Source organism: Homo sapiens, chromosome 17 (genome assembly GCF_000001405.40).
Source record: "Homo sapiens chromosome 17, GRCh38.p14 Primary Assembly".
Classification (NCBI taxonomy): Eukaryota; Metazoa; Chordata; class Mammalia; order Primates; family Hominidae; genus Homo; species Homo sapiens.
In genome coordinates this window covers 72543230-72560056 of record NC_000017.11, presented here as the reverse complement: position 1 = coordinate 72560056, position 16827 = coordinate 72543230, and the positions used below count along the sequence as shown (strand labels likewise).

The window sequence follows — 16827 nt, the reverse complement described above, 5'->3', positions numbered from 1 at the left end:
TAGCCGGCTTGATGGTCCCGGCTACTTCAGAGACTGAGCTGGGAGTTTGAAGCTACAGTGAGCTGCGATCACGCCACTGCACTCCGGCCTGGGTGACAGAACAAGACCCTGTATCTAAAAAAATAAAAATAAATAAAGGAAGGAAAAATAAGATAAAAGCCACGGGGAAAGCTGGGATAAAATATTCTGCTCTAATCCCTATATAATTGCTAGGGGTGGCAGGGCTATGGTCCGGTGTAGGCTAGTACTTTCTGGGTCAGCTCTATCAATTCTTATTAGGTGAAGTTATCCACGGGCTGCCACTGTGCAGAGAGATGCGTGGGCTCCCCAGGAATGCTCTGTGGTGGACGCATCCTCTTCCCACAGGAAATTCTGAGCTTCAAGGATCTTCTAGGTTCTTTCCCCGCCACTTTCTACTAAGGAGGCCTGTGACATAAATACAAAAGTGCAGGTCTGGGCTGGGTGCGCTGGCTCACGCCTGTAATCCCAGCACTTTGGGAGGCTGAGGTGGGAGGATCACCTGAGGTCAGGAGTTCGAGACCAGCCTGGCCAACATGGTGAAACCCTGTCTCTACTAAAAATACAAAAAATTAGCTGGGCGTGGCGACAGGCTCTGTAATCCCAGCTACTCGGGAGGCTGAGGGAGGAGAATCCCTTGGACCCGGGAGGTGGAGGTTGCAGTGAGCCGAGAGATCATGTCATTGCACTCCAGCCTGGGCAACGAGAGTGAAACTCTGTCTCAGAAAAACAAAAAACGAAAAACAGCAGGTCTGTAAAGGTCACTCTGAGGAAGGCCAGAACAGTGCAGTGGCTGCTGGGTTTGATGAACCGTACTCCTCAGAGCATCTAGGCCCGTGGTTTTTCAGCTGGAGCTCATCTGAGCCCCTGTGGGGGGCTGTTTAGGACACAGATGGCTGGTCCCACCCGCAATGTTCCTGATTCAGTTGCTCTGGTGCAGGGCCTGAGAACCTGCATTTCTTGTAAGCTCCCTGTTGATGCAGATGCTGCTGGTCAGGGGACCCTTGCTCTAGACTCCTGGGACTCCTGCTCTAGGACCCCTGCTTTCTGGAGCCCTGGTCTAGAAAGAACGGATTGAACCCTGGTTTTTCTCTCTCCCTCCATGAAGTGCGTGTTGGCAGTGGAGCTTTTGGTGACGATGAGCTGGCACAATGTGGGGAGTTCTGCTCTGCCAGCCCCCTGGAAGGCAGCTCTTCTGTACAGGTCGTAAAGGCTGGCACCTTCTAGGGAAAATCCGGGGACTCATGGGTGCCACCCTTTCCTGGGAGGCTCCATCACCCTCCTATGCTACAACATGACTGTTTCCAGAAAACACTTGAGTCTGTCTCATATAAACACTTGAGGGCCTACAGGAATAGCATGCTCTGCTGGAGTGTGCAAGTCCTCTGTCATTATAGGGCTGTCACATTTTAGCCTAGAGAAGGTTTTTAAGGCAGTAGATCCTGAACATTCACTTTGACCATTGGAAAAACCAAACTCTCAGGAACGGAGAGAGAAAACATTGCAGCTTTGCCCACATGACTTTCCTAGCGGATCCTTTGAGGTCTGGGTGCCCTCAAGTCCTCCCTAGGTAACAAGATGGCCCACTATGGTGGATTCTTGGAAACCAGTTAGAGGTGGAGAGCATCTCCCATGAATCGAGTCTGTAGTTTGGAGGAATCTCTAGTCTTTTCTTTCGTAGCCTGAGTAGATAGCAGGGCACCTGTTCATTAGGACCTCTTCTAGGCTTGTCATGGTAAGCCCGTGTTGTCTTCATATACAAGAATTGTATTCTGTTGAATACAGAGGACTGGGGGCAGGGTAAATACACTCCCTCAAGGGGTAGAAACAACAGCAAAAAGTGCCAGACATTGATGAGGCTCTGATTCAAGTGACTTTCAGCTATACATTTAAAAATCCAGTGGGCTTAGCCCTGCTCCTGTCTCTAGGCCCTAGGTGGGGAAAGTGAGGACCACAGCTAAGCCACCTGCCCAAGGTCACATAAATGGTAAGTAACAGAGCTGGGATTCAAACCCAGGTAGTAGGGATTACAGGCTGGAGCATCTGAGGTTTAAAAGGTGGGAGACCAGGACCCAGGTCTGTTACCCACACTGGAAATTGTTAGCATGCTTGTCAAGGCCTGTAGCCCCTGACTCCCCTAGGTGAATGTCAGGATCCCTCCCAGGAGTATGTGTGTGAGAGAGTGTATGTGAGTGTGTCTGAGTGTATGTGTGAGTGTGCATATCTGGTGTGTGTGTGTCTGTATGTCTGTGTATGAGTGTGTGGGTGTGTATCTTGGTGTATGAGTGTGTGTGCCTGGGTGTGTATATGAGTGTGAGTGTGCATAAGTGTGTGGGTGTGTGTATGATTGTGTATATCTGGGTTTCTGCCTGTGTGTGTATGAGTGTGTGTGTGCGCGTCTGAGTCTTGTGCGTCTCTGTGTGTCTGGGTGTATGAGTGTGTATATGTTGTGTGTGTCTGCGTTATGTGTGTCTGTGTTGTGTGCGTGTTTGGGCGTGTGTCTGAGTGTGTGTTGTGTGTCTCTGGGGAGGGGTGTGTGTGTGTGAGAATGTGTGTGGTGTGTGTGTGTCTGGGTGTGTGTGGTATGTGTGGGTGTGTGTGTGAGTGGGTGTGTGAGTGTGTGTGTGTTGTGTGCGTGCCTGGGGGTGTGGTCCTATGTAAAGAGCTCTGCCGGTTTCTGCCAAAGGCCGGCGAAGGCACAATCTGCATTGTTCCTAACAGATAGACCTCCAGAGTTATAACGGTGCTTGAGGGAAGTGGCTCGCTTCTGTCCTCACAAAAATCGTGGCCAGGGCAAAGGCATTAACTCCTTATAACCAGCTGTGCCCAGCAGGGAAGTCAGGCGAAGAGCAGCACCTGAGCTCAGGCAGCTCCTCTGGGCCCGCGGGCATCTCTCCTGGATATTGCTGGGGTCTGTCGCCACCTCGTGGTTATTCCGTGTATCGGCTTTCAAATGAAGCTCTCACTCCAGCATCTGGGACCATGGACCCATGGACAGAGACCCCTCCCGGAGGGTCTTGTGTCTTGCAGGGCACTGGGGCCTGATAGAAAGAGGTGGTCGCTCTCTACGGTTCCAGTCTCGGAGGGGCACAGTGGGGCGTGTGGGAAAGAACATGGGCTTTGGAGCCAGCGCCGGATCAGGTGCACACATGAATGTGACTGTCAAGCGACTGAAGCGCTCTCATTGCTGGTTTTCCATTCACGGGGAGGCTCCTGTTCATGGCGTTTTGTGAATTAGCGACAGTAAAGCACCTGGCACCGGGTAGCTGCTCTAATTCTAAAAATTAGGGGCAGGACGCAGCTGCCTATCGCCCGTAAACTGTATACAGCTTTGTGACATCATCCCATTGTATGACACAGGTTGCGTTATTGAAGATTTCCACACATTATCCACTTTCTGGAATACTTTTGGATTTACGGAAAAGTTTACAGAAAATACATTTACAGAAAATGAGTTCCTGGGCTGGGCGCGGTGGCTCACGCCTGTAATCCCAGCACTTTGGGAGGCCGAGGTGGGTGGATCACGAGGTCAGGAGTTCGAGACCAGCCTGGCCAACATGGTGAAACCCCTGTCTCTACTAAAAATACAAAAATTAGCTGGGCGTGGTGGTGGATGCCTGTAATCCCGGCTACTCAGGAGGCTGAGGCAGAGAATTGCTTGAACCCGGGAGGCAGAGGTTGCAGTGAGCCGAGATCGTGCCACTGCACTCCAGCCTGGGCGACAGAGCAAGACTCCGTCTCAAAATAATAATAATAATAATAGGAGTTCTGATATATCTCTCACCCAGTTTCTCTTGGTATTAACATCTTCATACTATGTTATATGCATACAACAAGCATGTCAACATCATCATAGTGCGTTTATCAATGCTAAGAAATTAACATTGGAAGCATGCTATTAACCATAGAGTTGGTCTCTGTTGATTAGTTTTTCCACTAATATCCTTTTCCTGTTCAAGGATCCAGTCTGGATTCCACATTGTATTTAGTCTTTTCTGCTCTGTGATGTTTCCCTCAGTCTTTTCTTGTTTTTAGTGACGTTGACAATTTTAGAGAATGCTAGTCATGTATTTTGAAGGATGTTCTTCCATTTGGTTTTGTCTGACGTTTTCTCATAATAAACTGGGGTTTCAGGGAGAATACAGCAGTGAAGTGTTCTCATTGCATCAAATCAGTGGGTACGTGACGTCAACAGCGTTCATCACTGGTGATCTTGACCTTGATCACTGGTCTAAGGTGGTGTCCGCCAGTTTTCTTCACTGTGCATTTGCTGTTTTTCCCTTTCTGTACCCTTCATTAGAAGAGAGTCACCAAGTCCAGCCCCTTTATATCAATAGGAGGGGACATAAGCTCAATTTCCTGGAGGGGGAAGTGTCCAAATACACTATTTGGAGTTCTTCTATCAGGACATTTTGTCCCATCTCCCTCGTTTATTTATTTATTCATTCACTCACTCATTTATATCAGTATGGGCTCATGGATACCTATGAAAGTGCATTTTCCTTGTCTTGGTCCTGGAACAATTTTTTTCATGCTTGGAAAGATATTTCCTAGTTTGAGTTTGAGGTGTTGAGTGAATAGTCCTTTGTCATTTCTTTTGGCTCTGCGTTTTTGGAGCCTGTAACAATGAGTATGTTGAATTGCTCGCCTGGTTTTGGGCTAACTGGGGGTCTTGGGTATGGTGAGAACTAGGTTTTGTGGTGAGGCTGCATCAGGGCTGTGTCTGTGGTCGGCCACGGTGATACCTGTGAGCACTTGTCACTGTCTCCTTTGCGAGAAGCAGCTGGGCTTGGCCTCCAACCTGGCGTGGAAATCCTGGTGCTGCCACCCTCAGTGTTCCTTTGGGTGAATCAGTGCCCCGCCCCCAGCTTCATCATCTGTAAAGTATTGATTCTCACCTTGACAAGGTGGAGGTCATGCGTGTATTCTCCCAGGCAGAGGTCTTTATCAGTACTTAGCCGTCAGAATGATCTGTAAGGTGAGTACAGCCACTGATATCTTCAACTGCTCAGTACCATCTCCAAGGTCATGGCCAGGGCATGGTGGGTTTGGATCTGGACCATCTGGATCTCACACGGTTCAGCCCAAATGATTTCTGTGGTGTCTGTAATCGTGGTGTCTTGTGAGGACTGATGACCCCAGACGTGCAGGGCCACCCTTATCCCTTCCCCTCCCCTTCTCCTGTCTTCTCAGCACCCCCAGGGTTACATGGCGGTCAGGCTGAGAGGCAGGGGTGACAGGATGGGGTGGGAGAGCTCCAGAAGGGTCGGAGACCTCACTCTGGTAACTGTCATTCTCTAGGGTCTGGGAATTGGTCTTGGAGGTGCTGACTCATCAGAATTGGAGATGCCCAGGCTCTCTGATGACAGATGGCTCTGGAGGAGCACAGGAGGGGTGCACCCATCAGATGTTGATGTCTCTTTCCAGCCGCCCTTCTTCAAGGGGGTACTGCCAGGAGCCTCTGGCTGAGGCACCTGCGTCCTGGTTTCAAGGCATCCAGGGGGTCACTTGATGATCTGGGCTGTTGCCTGCTGAGCGTGGGATTCGAGATTAGAGGAGGTGGCTCTAGTCTCTGAGTGTCAGCGTCTTCCTCCTGGATGGAGCTGACTGCACACTGCCCTGGTTTGCTCTTGGAATCTGGGGCGAGTGTGAGGGTGTGTGTGTGTGCATGTGTGCCCAGGTGTTTGAGCATGTGGATGGGTGCACGTGTGGGGTATGTGCATGGGGTGTGTGCAGGTGTGTGTGTGCATGTGTGCCCAGGTGTTTGAGCATGTAGATGGGTGCACGTGTGGGGTATGTGCATGGGGTGTGTGCACGTGTGTGTGTGCGCCCAGGTGTATGAGCGTGTGGATGGGTGCACGTATAGAATGTGTAAATGAAATGTGTGCATATGTGTGTGTGTATGTGTGCCCAGGTGTATGTGTGGATGGGTGTGTGTGGGATGTGTGCATGGGTGTGTGTGTGTGTGCATGTGTGACCAGGTATATGAGTGGATGGGTGTGTGTGGGGTGTGTGCATGGGGTGTGTGCACGTGTGTGTGTGTGTGTGCCCAGGTGTATGAGTGGATAGGTACACGTGTGGGATGTGTGCACATGTGTGAATGTGTGCCCAGGTGTATGAATGTGTTGATGGGTGTATGGGAATGTGTACATGAAATGTGTGCGTATGTGTGTGCATGTGTGCCCAGGTGTATGACTGTGTGGATAAATGTGTGGGATGTGTCCATGGGGTGTATGCGCGCGTGTGTGTGCGTGTGTGCCCAGGTATGAGTGTGTGGATGGGTGCACGTGTGGGGCGTGTGCACATGTGTGAGTGTGTGTGCCCAGGTGGATGAGTGTGTGGATAGGTGCATGTGTGGGATAGGTGCATGTGTGGGATAGGTGCATGTGTGGGATGTGTGCATGGAGTGTCTGCACGTGTGAGTGTGTGTGTGCCCAGGTGGATGAGTGTGTGGATGGGTGTGTGGGGGGTGTGCATGGGGTGCGTGCACATGTGTGAGCGTATGTGTGCCCAGGTGTATGAGTGTGTGGATAGGTGCATGTGTGGGATGTGTGCATGGAGTGTCTGCACATGTGTGAGTGTGTGTGCGCCCACGTGGATGAGTGTGTGGATGGGTGTGTGTGGGCTGTGCATGGGGTGTGTGCACATGTGTAACTAGATGTATGAGTGTGTACATGTGCACATGTGTGCGTGCATGTATCCACATTTGTGAGTTGTGTGCACAGAGGCTACTGCCTCCACAGGTGTCTTTTTCACATGCGTCAGCGTGACCTGCCAAGACTCACAGTTCCACGCGTCTGGGGGCGGGACTTTCTGTCTTTATCTGCTGGTTTAATGAGTTTGACTCCTTATAAGAAACACATTTTCTTATTTTTTTCCAAGTGTTTAGTTGGGCACCTGCTGTGACCCCCACCAGGGGTCACTTACACCAAGGTCGTCCCTTCCCGCCTTCCCATCCGTGTTTCCCTGTGGCTAAGGTTTCACTTCCACTCAGCAGGGATATGAAAGCTGCTCCTGTCTCTTGTGATTGAGTCGTAAGCTGGGGGTGAAAAGGAGACAATTTTTACTGGAGTTGGATCTCAGGAGGTGAGGGGAGAACTGGGTTAAGCGGGGGCTTTAGCCATGGAAAGGAGATTCCCTTTTCCTAGGGGTTTCCATGACAACCTGCCCAGAGGTTTATGGGATGGCTGGGTTGATGATGCTGTGGACACTTGGATGTGCCTTTGGAAGGTTTACTGACACCTCAGGAATTCTCTGAGAAGGGACTTCACCTCACTCAGTAAGGAGGAAAGAAGGAGAAGTGAACAGTTTACACCTGGGAGTTTTTATGCAGCTGGTGGGAGGGGGAATTGAGGCATGGCTCTTTGGTTTATTTAAAAGGAGAAGCTGCATCTGACAAAGGGCTAATATCCGGAATCTACAAAGAAGTTAAACAAATTTACAAGAAAAAAACAAACATCCCCATCAAAAAGTGGGCAAAGGATATGAACAGACACTTCTCAAAAGAAGACATTTATGCAGCCAACAGACACATGAAAAAACGCTCATCATCACTGGCCATCAGAGAAATGCAAATCAAAACTACAATGAGATACCACCTCACACCAGTTAGAATGGCGATCATTAAAAAGTCAGGAAACAACAGGTGCTGGAGAGGCTGTGGAGAAATAGGAACACTTTTACACTGTTGGTGGGACTGTAAACTAGTTCAACCATTGTGGAAGACAGTGTGGCGATTCCTCAAGGATCTAGAACTAGAAATACCATTTGACCCAGCCATCCCATTACTGGGTATATACCCAAAGGATTATAAATCATGCTGCTATAAAGACACATGCACACATACGTTTATTGAGGCACTATTCACAATAGCAAAGACTTGGAACCAATCCAAATATCCATCAATGATAGACTGGATTAAGAAAATGTGGCACATACACACCATGGAATACTATGCAGCCATAAAAAAAGATGAGTTCATGTCCTTTGTAGGGACCTGGATGAAGCTGGAAACCATCATTCTCAGCAAACTATTGCAAGGACAGAAAACCAAACACCTCATGTTCTCACTCATAGGTGGGAATCGAACAATGAGAACACTTGGACACAGGGTGGGGAACATCACACCCTGGGGCCTGCTGTGGGGTGGGGGGAGTTGGGAGGGATAGCATTAGGAGATACACCTAATGTAAATGACGAGTTAATGGGCGCAGCACACCAACATGGCACATGTGTACATATGTAACAAACCTGCACGTTGTGCACATGTACCCTAGAACTTTAAAGTATAATAATATAAAAAAATAAAATAAAAGATCGGGTACAGGGGCATCTTGCTATGTCACCCAGGCTGGTCTCAAACTCTTAACCTCAAACCGTTCTCCCAAAGTGCTGGGATTACACGTCTGAGCCACCACGCCCAGCTCTTGGCACTTCTGATGCCTCAACATGCTTCCAGAATAAAATCTGAAGTCTTCAGAGCAATCGTCAAAGCTTCTCAGATGACCCAGTTCAAATCTATGAGGACACATTTCTCTGCTGCCATTTTCCCCATTCTGGCCTCTCAGAATATTATATTTATCAAGTTAGTCTTCCATGTCACTTTATTATAGTTGGTTGTCTATTTTTTTGGTCTTAAAAAATGTGCTTCCATGGTGGCGGGCGCCTGTAGTCCCAGCTACTCGGGAGGCTGAGGCAGGACAATGGCGTGAATCCCGGGGGGCGGAGCCTGCAGTGAGCCGAGATCGAGCCACTGCACTCCAGCCTGGGCGACAGCGAGACTCCGTCTCAAAAGCAAACAAACAAACAAACGAACAAAAAAAATGTGCTTCCTCAGGGCCAAAGAAGCCACAGAGAACATGTCCCGCCTGCCAGTCAGCTCTATCTGTGTCCATCTAAGGCCTCATTTATTATTTATATGGAGTATGGCTCTCCAATCACAATGTGCTTTATTTTTTAATTGGGGCGTTAGCGGCCAAGAGAACTCTCTTTTCCATACTTGAGCAAAATAAATAAATTCATCAGGAAAAAAAAATGTAAAAGGAGAAGTCGGCCGGGCGTGGTGGCTCATGCCTGTAATCTCAGCACTTTGGGAGGCCAAGGCAGGTGGATCACCTGAGGTCAGGAGTTCGAGACCAGTCTGACCAGCATGGTGAAACCCCGTCTCTACTAAAAATATAAAAATTAGTTGGGCGTGATGGCAGGTGCCTGTAATCCCAGCTACTCCAGAGGTTGAAGCAGGAGAATGGCTGGAACTCGAGAGGCAGAGGTTACAGTGAGTGGAGATTGCACCATTTCACTCCAGCCTGAGTGATAGAGCAAGACTCCATCTCAAAAAAAAAAAAAAAAGTTTGTGCGCAGGTGGGACTGTGGGAGTAGACCTTAGGGATGGATGTCATAGCATCGCATAAGGCCACTTATCCAGGGTGACACATGGACTTCTGGGCTGAGGAGGTTAGGAGAGTGTTTAGGGATGATCAGTCAGGGCTTGGCCGACAGTGGAAATGCCTCAGGGCCTGCTGGACAAAATGGCATGGAGCCACCTCTCAGACGTGAGTAAGGAATTGCCCTCCTTGTCTCAGTGGGACAAGGCTTGAAGCTAATTGGAGGAGGTGGAGAGAAATTTAGAGGGGGTCCTGGTTAGGGTACCCATAAAAATAGAGATGCTTGGGATGTTCTGAGCAAAGGAGCCAGAATGCAGAGAACAGGACCACAGCCCTAGTAGCTAGGGGGGGAGTTTGAGATGCAGCCTGGGGGTGCCCTGCCTAATTTCAGAGACTTAAGGGCCAGTGTCAGTGACAGGGTCAGCAGGGGTGGGTGAGAATCTGCTAGGCCAAGGGGAAGAGTGAGACTTAGAATCTACACAGCCATATGGTAGTTTATGGGGGAAGATTTGGTGTACAAAGTAGATTCTTAGGCTCAGCTTCTGCTTAAGGCTAGGCAGGGATTGGGGGTGGTGTTGGGAGAGCCCTCCATGCTGAGTTATGGTTTTGGCTTTGATGTTGCTGGTTTTAGGAGGCACCAACAAAGCTATGGACAGGAGGATTTGGGAGAGATTTACTTACCCACGGTATGTAAGAGAAGATTGGGGATGAGGAGTGAGGAGAAGGCTGGAGACCAGTTAGAGGCTACCGTAGCAGCGTAGAGAGGCTGAAAATCTAACTAGGGTGGAAGCAGCCAGGCAGGCTGGTCCTAATGTTGGGAGTTGTTCAGATCTGGTGGAGAGGTCATTACTTATAGAGTTATTAATTTATACCCCACCTTAATTGCAAAGAGATTCAAAGCAGTAAGCCATCACTTTAGAATTTAATGTTCTGTTTTCCTTTTTATTTACTCATTCAGCAGCTATTTCAATGCCTGCTGTGTGCCAGGTGCTATTCTTAGTGCTTTACTTGTTGTATGTGTTATCTAATGCTGTGTAACAAATTACTCCTGAACTTACCAACTCACAACAACATTTATTAGCTCACAGTTTCTGTGGAGCAGGGATCTAGATGTGGCTTAGTTGGGGTTGCTGGCCTGGGGTCTCTCCTAAGGCTGCAGTGAAGGTGGTGGCCGGGGCTGCAGTCATCTGAAGGCTCTAGTGGGGCAGGATCCACTTCCAGGCTCACTCAATGGCTGTTGGCTAGGTTTAGTTCCTTGCAGTCTATTGGATTGGGGCCCTAGTTCCTGGTATATGGCCTCTCTATAGGGCAGGTCACCTTGTGGCAGTAGACACCATCAAAGTCAGAGAGAGAGAGAGAGAAAGAAAGAAAGAAAGAAAGAAAGAAAGAAAAGAGGGGCCAGCAAGATGGAAATCACAGCCTTTTATAAGCCAGTCTTGAAAGTGGTAGCTCATCACATTTGTCCTACTCTCTGTGTTACATGTTAATTTCTAGGTCGAGCCCACACTCCAGGGGAGAGGAGTATACAAGGCATGAATGCCAGGAGGTGGTGACCAGTGGGGTCATCTTAGAAGGCTGCCAGTTACATTTGTATTGACTCATTGAATTCTTGCAACAATGTTAAAAGTGGGCAATATTAGCCCCATTTTACAGATGAAGAAACTGAGGTAGAGAGAAGTTGAATCAGCTCTCAAGGCCACAGCACCAATGAGTAGTGGCACTGGGATTCAAACCCAGGCCCCTGGCTCCAGGATTCCACCCTTAGCCATGACCTGAACCCTTGTCTGTAGGCCCTTATAGGTCATACTGTGGACCACCTCACTCCTTGAGGCCAGAGCCAATTGAATAGATGGCTCTTGGTGCCTGCGTTTCTGGAATGCTTTGTAGCCAGACTGGACATTGAAGGTTCACCTTTTGATGGCTTTAAATTTATTTTTATTATTTTATTTTTTTTTTGAGACAGGGTCTTGCTTTGCCTCCCAGGCTGGAGTGCAGTGGTGTAATCATACCTCACTGCAGCCTCGACCTTCCAGGCTTGAGTGATCATCCAGCCTCAGCCTCCCAAAGTGTTGGGATTACAAGTGTGAGCCATTGTGCCTGGCCTGTTTGTTTTTAAATAGGAGTAATTAGTATTTGCCATATAAAAAATGTGGCTTGAGCAAGATGTACTTCCTGAGTGACCCTGGGCAAATTATGTAAGTCATCCATGAAATGGAAAAAATAACACCTATTTCTTGGGGGGGGACTAAATAAAAGCGCTCTCTTCTGAGGCTGTGGTGCTAAAATCCTCTACGTTGGCTCATTGGATCCTCATGTGTAAAGTTACTTAGAATGGACGGTTGTCATAATGAATATGTGGTAAATATTTAATTCCCTTCTAGAGTGATGTGCTGGGCCTTGGGAGGTAGAGAGATGAATCGAAAGGGAATCCTCTGTCTCAGGCTCAGCTTCTGCTGGAGGGGGAGGCAGATATTTTCATGGATTATTACATTCGAAGGGTGATATGGTTTGGCTGTGTCCCCACCCAAATCTCATCTCAAATTGTAGCTCCCATAATTCCCCCGCATTGTGGGAGGGACCCAGTTGGAGATAATTGAATCATGGGGGTGGTTCCCCCATATTGTTCTTATGGTAGTGAATAAGTCTCACAAGATCTGATAGTTTTATAAGGGGAAACCCCTTTCGCTTGGCTCGCATTGTCTTATCTGCCACCCTGTGAGACGTGCCTTTAGCCTTCCACCATGATTGTGAGGCCTCCCCAGCCACGTGGAACTGTGAGTCCATTAAACCTCTTTCTTTTGTAAATTGCCCAGTCTTGGGTGTGTCTTTATCAGCTGCCTGAAAACGGACTAATACAGTGGGTGCGGGTTAAGGCTCAGCTTCACATAAGGAATGGGGAGTACTCAGAGGTAGGAGGGACAAAAATGAAGCCGCCATCCTCAGGACAGTCCCAAATGCAGGGAGATGGCCTGCAGCCTGCGGGGTGCATGGGTGCTCTCTGTCCTGAGAGTCTTGGCCTGAAGAATAAATACGGCTGCAGCCTCTGGGACTTGCAAGGCTTTTGTAGGGCTTGTGGCTTTCCACTTTGTGGAACAGAAGGAGGACATAGGTTGAAAGACCTACCTTCCTTCTATAAAAATCCTGCCTTACGGGTGAGAACCTCATGTTCTTACCCACGAGTGATCTTACCTGGGCAGGGTACAGTGTCCAAGCCCACAACACTTAGGGGCCTATGAAAATGTTTTAATTTCCTTTAAAATTGGAAGAAAAAATAAATATAATAATAAAGAATATATAATAATGTATCCAGCCCGGATTATCATTATATTGTCTTTATACCAACGCAGTCATAAAATATAATTTAAAAATACTTTTATGAAGGCAGGAGCCCAAAAAGAAAAATGTGTGTCCACAAGCATCAAATGTAGTTCTGTGAATGCATCCTAGGCCATGATATAGTTCCAGCAAGTTTAGACATTGACAAATTCCAAAATACCGAGAAAGAATATTCACAGCCTTGGCATCCTCAGGGAGGATCTCGGGGAAGATTTCTCTCTTGGGCTATTTGGGCTGTGACAACAAAGTCCCTGGGTGGTTTATACATAACAGAAATTTATTTCTCGGCTGGGTGCGGTGGCTCACACCTGTAATCCCAGCACTTTGGGAGGCCAAGGCGGGAGGATCACTTGAGGTCAGGAGTTCGAGATCAACCTGGCCAACATGGTGAAACCCCATCTCTACTAAAAATACAAAAATTAGGCATGATGGTGCACACTTGTGGTCCCAGCTACTAGGGAGGCTGAGGTGGGAGGATCACTTGAACCTGGGAGGCAGAAGTTGCAGTGAGCTGAGATTACACCAATGCACTCCAGTCTAGGTGACAGAGCGAGACCCTGTCTCAAGACAAAAAAAAAAAAAAAAAAGGCCGGGTGCAGTGGCTTATGCCTGTAATCCCAGCACTTTGGGAGGCCAAGGCGGGCAGATCGTGCGGTCAAGAGATCGAGACCATCCTGGCCAACATGGTGAAACCCCGCCTCTACTAAAAATACAAAAATTAGCTGGGTATGGTGGCACATGCCTGTAGTCCCAGCTACTCGGAAGGCTGAGGCAGGAGAATCACTTGAACCCGGGAGTCAGAGGTTTCAATGAGCCGAGATCGCGCCACTGCACTCCAGCCTGGGCGACAGAGCAAGACAGCAAGACTCCATCTCAAAAACAAAAAAAAAGAAAGAAAAAAGCAAACTCAGCAAATGGGAAATGTGCACGGGGCAGAGTCCGGAGCAGACCAGGTGCACGTCCTGAGAGTCTCTTCCCAGCAGAGTCACACCTCACACACTGCTCAGTACGGCAGCCACAAGCCACACGTGGCCTGAGAGCATTTATTTCAGAAGTGGCTGGTGTGAATCGAGATGCGATACAAGCATAAAATGCATAGTGGGTTTCAAAGACTTAGTATGAAAAAATAACACAGAATAGCTCATGAATAATTTTAAAAATATTGGTTGCTTGTTGAAATGATGAACAGTGGAATATATTGGGTTAAATCGACTCTATGATTCAAATTACTTTCAGCTGTTTCTTTTTAGCTTTTTTATGTGGCTGTGAGAACACTGAAAACTACTTTTGGGGCTCACATTAAGCCTCTCTTGGTCAGCGCTGGCTCATGTCAGGCAGTGTACTTAGTCATTTGTCCTCCCCACCCGCCAAGGGAGATGCCATCATTATCCCATGGTACAGATAAGAAAGTGGAGACACCCGGAAGTGATGTAACTTCACCCACAGCTGGTAAAGGATAAATAGGGCCGGGATTTGTGCCCAGGGTGTCTGGTTCCAGAACCCAGTTTTTTTTTTTTAATTTTTTATTTATTATTATTATACTTTAAGTTTTAGGGTACATGTGCACAATGTGCAGGTTAGTTACATATGTATACATGTGCCATGCTGGTGCGCTGCACCCACCAACTCGTCATCTAGCATTAGGTATATCTCCCAATGCTATCCCTCCCCCCTCCCCCCAACCCACAACAGTCCCCAGAGTGTGATGTTCCCCTTCCTGTGTCCATGTGTTCTCATTGTTCAATTCCCACCTATGAGTGAGAACATGCGGTGTTTGGTTTTTTGTTCTTGCGATAGTTTACTGAGAATGATGATTTCCAATTTCATCCATGTCCCTACAAAGGACATGAACTCATCATTTTTTATGGCTGCATAGTATTCCATGGTGTATATATGCCACATTTTCTTAATCCAGTCTATCATTGTTGGACATTTGGGTTGGCTCCAAGTCTTTGCTATTGTGAATAATGCTGCAATAAACATACGTGTGCATGTGTCTTTATAGCAGCATGATTTATAGTCCTTTGGGTATATACCCAGTAATGGGATGGCTGGGTCAAATGGTATTTCTAGTTCTAGATCCCTGAGGAATCGCCACACTGACTTCCACAGTGGTTGAACTCGTTTACAGTCCCACCAACAGTGTAAAAGTGTTCCTATTTCTCCACATCCTCTCCAGCACCTGTTGTTTCCTGACTTTTTAATGATCGCCATTCTAACTGGTGTGAGATGGTATCTCATTGTAGTTTTGATTTGCATTTCTCTGATGGCCAGTGATGGTGAACAGTTTTTCATGTATTTTTTGGCTGCATAAATGTCTTCTTTTGAGAAGTGTCTGTTCATGTCCTTCGCCCACTTTTTGATGGGGTTGTTTGTTTTTTTCTTGTAAATTTGTTTGAGTTCATCATAGATTCTGGATATTAGCCCTTTGTCAGATGAGTAGGTTGCGAAAATTTTCTCCCATTTTGTAGGTTGCCTGTTCACTCTGATGGTAGTTTCTTTTGCTGTGCAGAAGCTCTTTAGTTTAATTAGATCCCATTTGTTCAGCAAAGTCTCGGGATACAAAATCAATGTACAAAAATCACAAGCATTCTTATACACCAACAACAGACAAACACAGAGCCAAATCATGAGTTAACTCCCATTCACAATTGCTTCAAAGAGAATAAAATACCTAGGAATCCAACTTACAAGGGATGTGAAGGACCTCTTCAAGGAGAACTACAAACCACTGCTCAAGGAAATAAAAGAGGATACAAACAAATGGAAAAACATTCCATGCTCATGGGTAGGAAGAATCAATATCATGAAAATGGCCATTCTGCCCAAGGTAATTTACAGGTTCAATGCCATCCCCATCAAGCTACCAATGACTTTCTTCACAGAATTGGACAAAACTACCTTAAAGTTCATATGGAACCAAAAAAGAGCCTGCATCGCCAAGTCAATCCTAAGGCAAAAGAACAAAGCTGGAGGCATCACACTACCTGACTTCAAACTATACTACAAGGCTACAGTAACCAAAACAGCATGGTACTGGTACCAAAACAGAGATATAGATCAATGGAACAGAACAGAGCCCTCGGAAATAACGCCACTTATCTACAACTATCTGATCTTTGACAAACCTGAGAAAAACAAGCAATGGGGAAAGGATTCCCTATTTAATAAATGGTGCTGGGAAAACTGGCTAGCCATATGTAGAAAGCTGAAACTGGATCCCTTCCTTACACCTTATACAAAAATCAATTCAAGATGGATTAAAGACTTAAACGTTCAACCTAAAACCATAAAAACCCTAGAAGAAAACCTAGGCATTACCATTCAGGACATAGGCATGTGCAAGGACTTCATGTCTAAAACACCAAAAGCAATGGCAACAAAAGCCAAAATTGACAAATGGGATCTAATTAAACTAAAGAGCAGAACCCACTCTTTCGACCACTGCACGTTACTGCTTTTCAAGATATCTGCGCTCTCAAAGAGCGCACCACTTAGCCTGGGAGACAGGAAAATAAATACTAATATCGTAGGGTTCAAATAGTGCTGTGACTGGAGTACTCACAGGATGCACAGAGAATTGATCCTGAACCATAAGGGGACATCCTGGAGGGCTTCCAAGAGGAGGTGACATTTATCCTGGCCATTGAAAGTGGTTAGCAGAGAAACGGGTGAGTGTTCCAGGTGGTGGAACATCATGTGTACAGGGGACATGGAAGGGAGAGGGTGTCTAGTGCCATGTTTTGGGGAATGCAGGTAGTTTGGGATGTCTGAGCAAATCCTGCAGGGGGTTATAGGGGAGATGAGGTGGGTACATGGGCAGCAGGGGTCTGATGACCCCAAGCTTTGTGGCATGGTTTGAACTTCATACCCATGGAAAGGGGAAGACATCACAAGGTTTTAAATGGAGAAACTGCATGATCTGAGATGTGTCTGAGGAGCTCACTCTTTTGGAGAGGAGGATGGGTTGGGGGCAGTGGGGAGGCGGGGCCAGGAGAGACACCCAGCATTTAGGAGGCTGTTCAGGGACCCAAGAGTGAGATCAGGAACTCCCGGACCGACGTGGGAGAGGAGGGTGGGGTCTGAGGGA

At 47.4% G+C, this 16827-nt stretch overlaps 1 long non-coding RNA gene across 5 annotated transcripts in view, besides 1 other annotated feature; it reads left to right on the top strand.

Moving 5' to 3' along the window:
* The window catches only part of LINC00673 (long intergenic non-protein coding RNA 673), a 189483-nt gene that overhangs the window by 32748 nt on the left and 139908 nt on the right, over window positions 1-16827 (top strand). The window lies entirely within an intron of this gene.
* Window positions 2778-3278: an enhancer, noted in NCBI's record as "H3K4me1 hESC enhancer chr17:70552918-70553418 (GRCh37/hg19 assembly coordinates)". NCBI's record gives its function as "activates a minimal SCP1, AML or CMV promoter by ChIP-STARR-seq in naive H9 embryonic stem cells {active_cell/tissue: H9 hESC(naive)}" and the evidence as "EXISTENCE:reporter gene assay evidence [ECO:0000049][PMID:30033119]".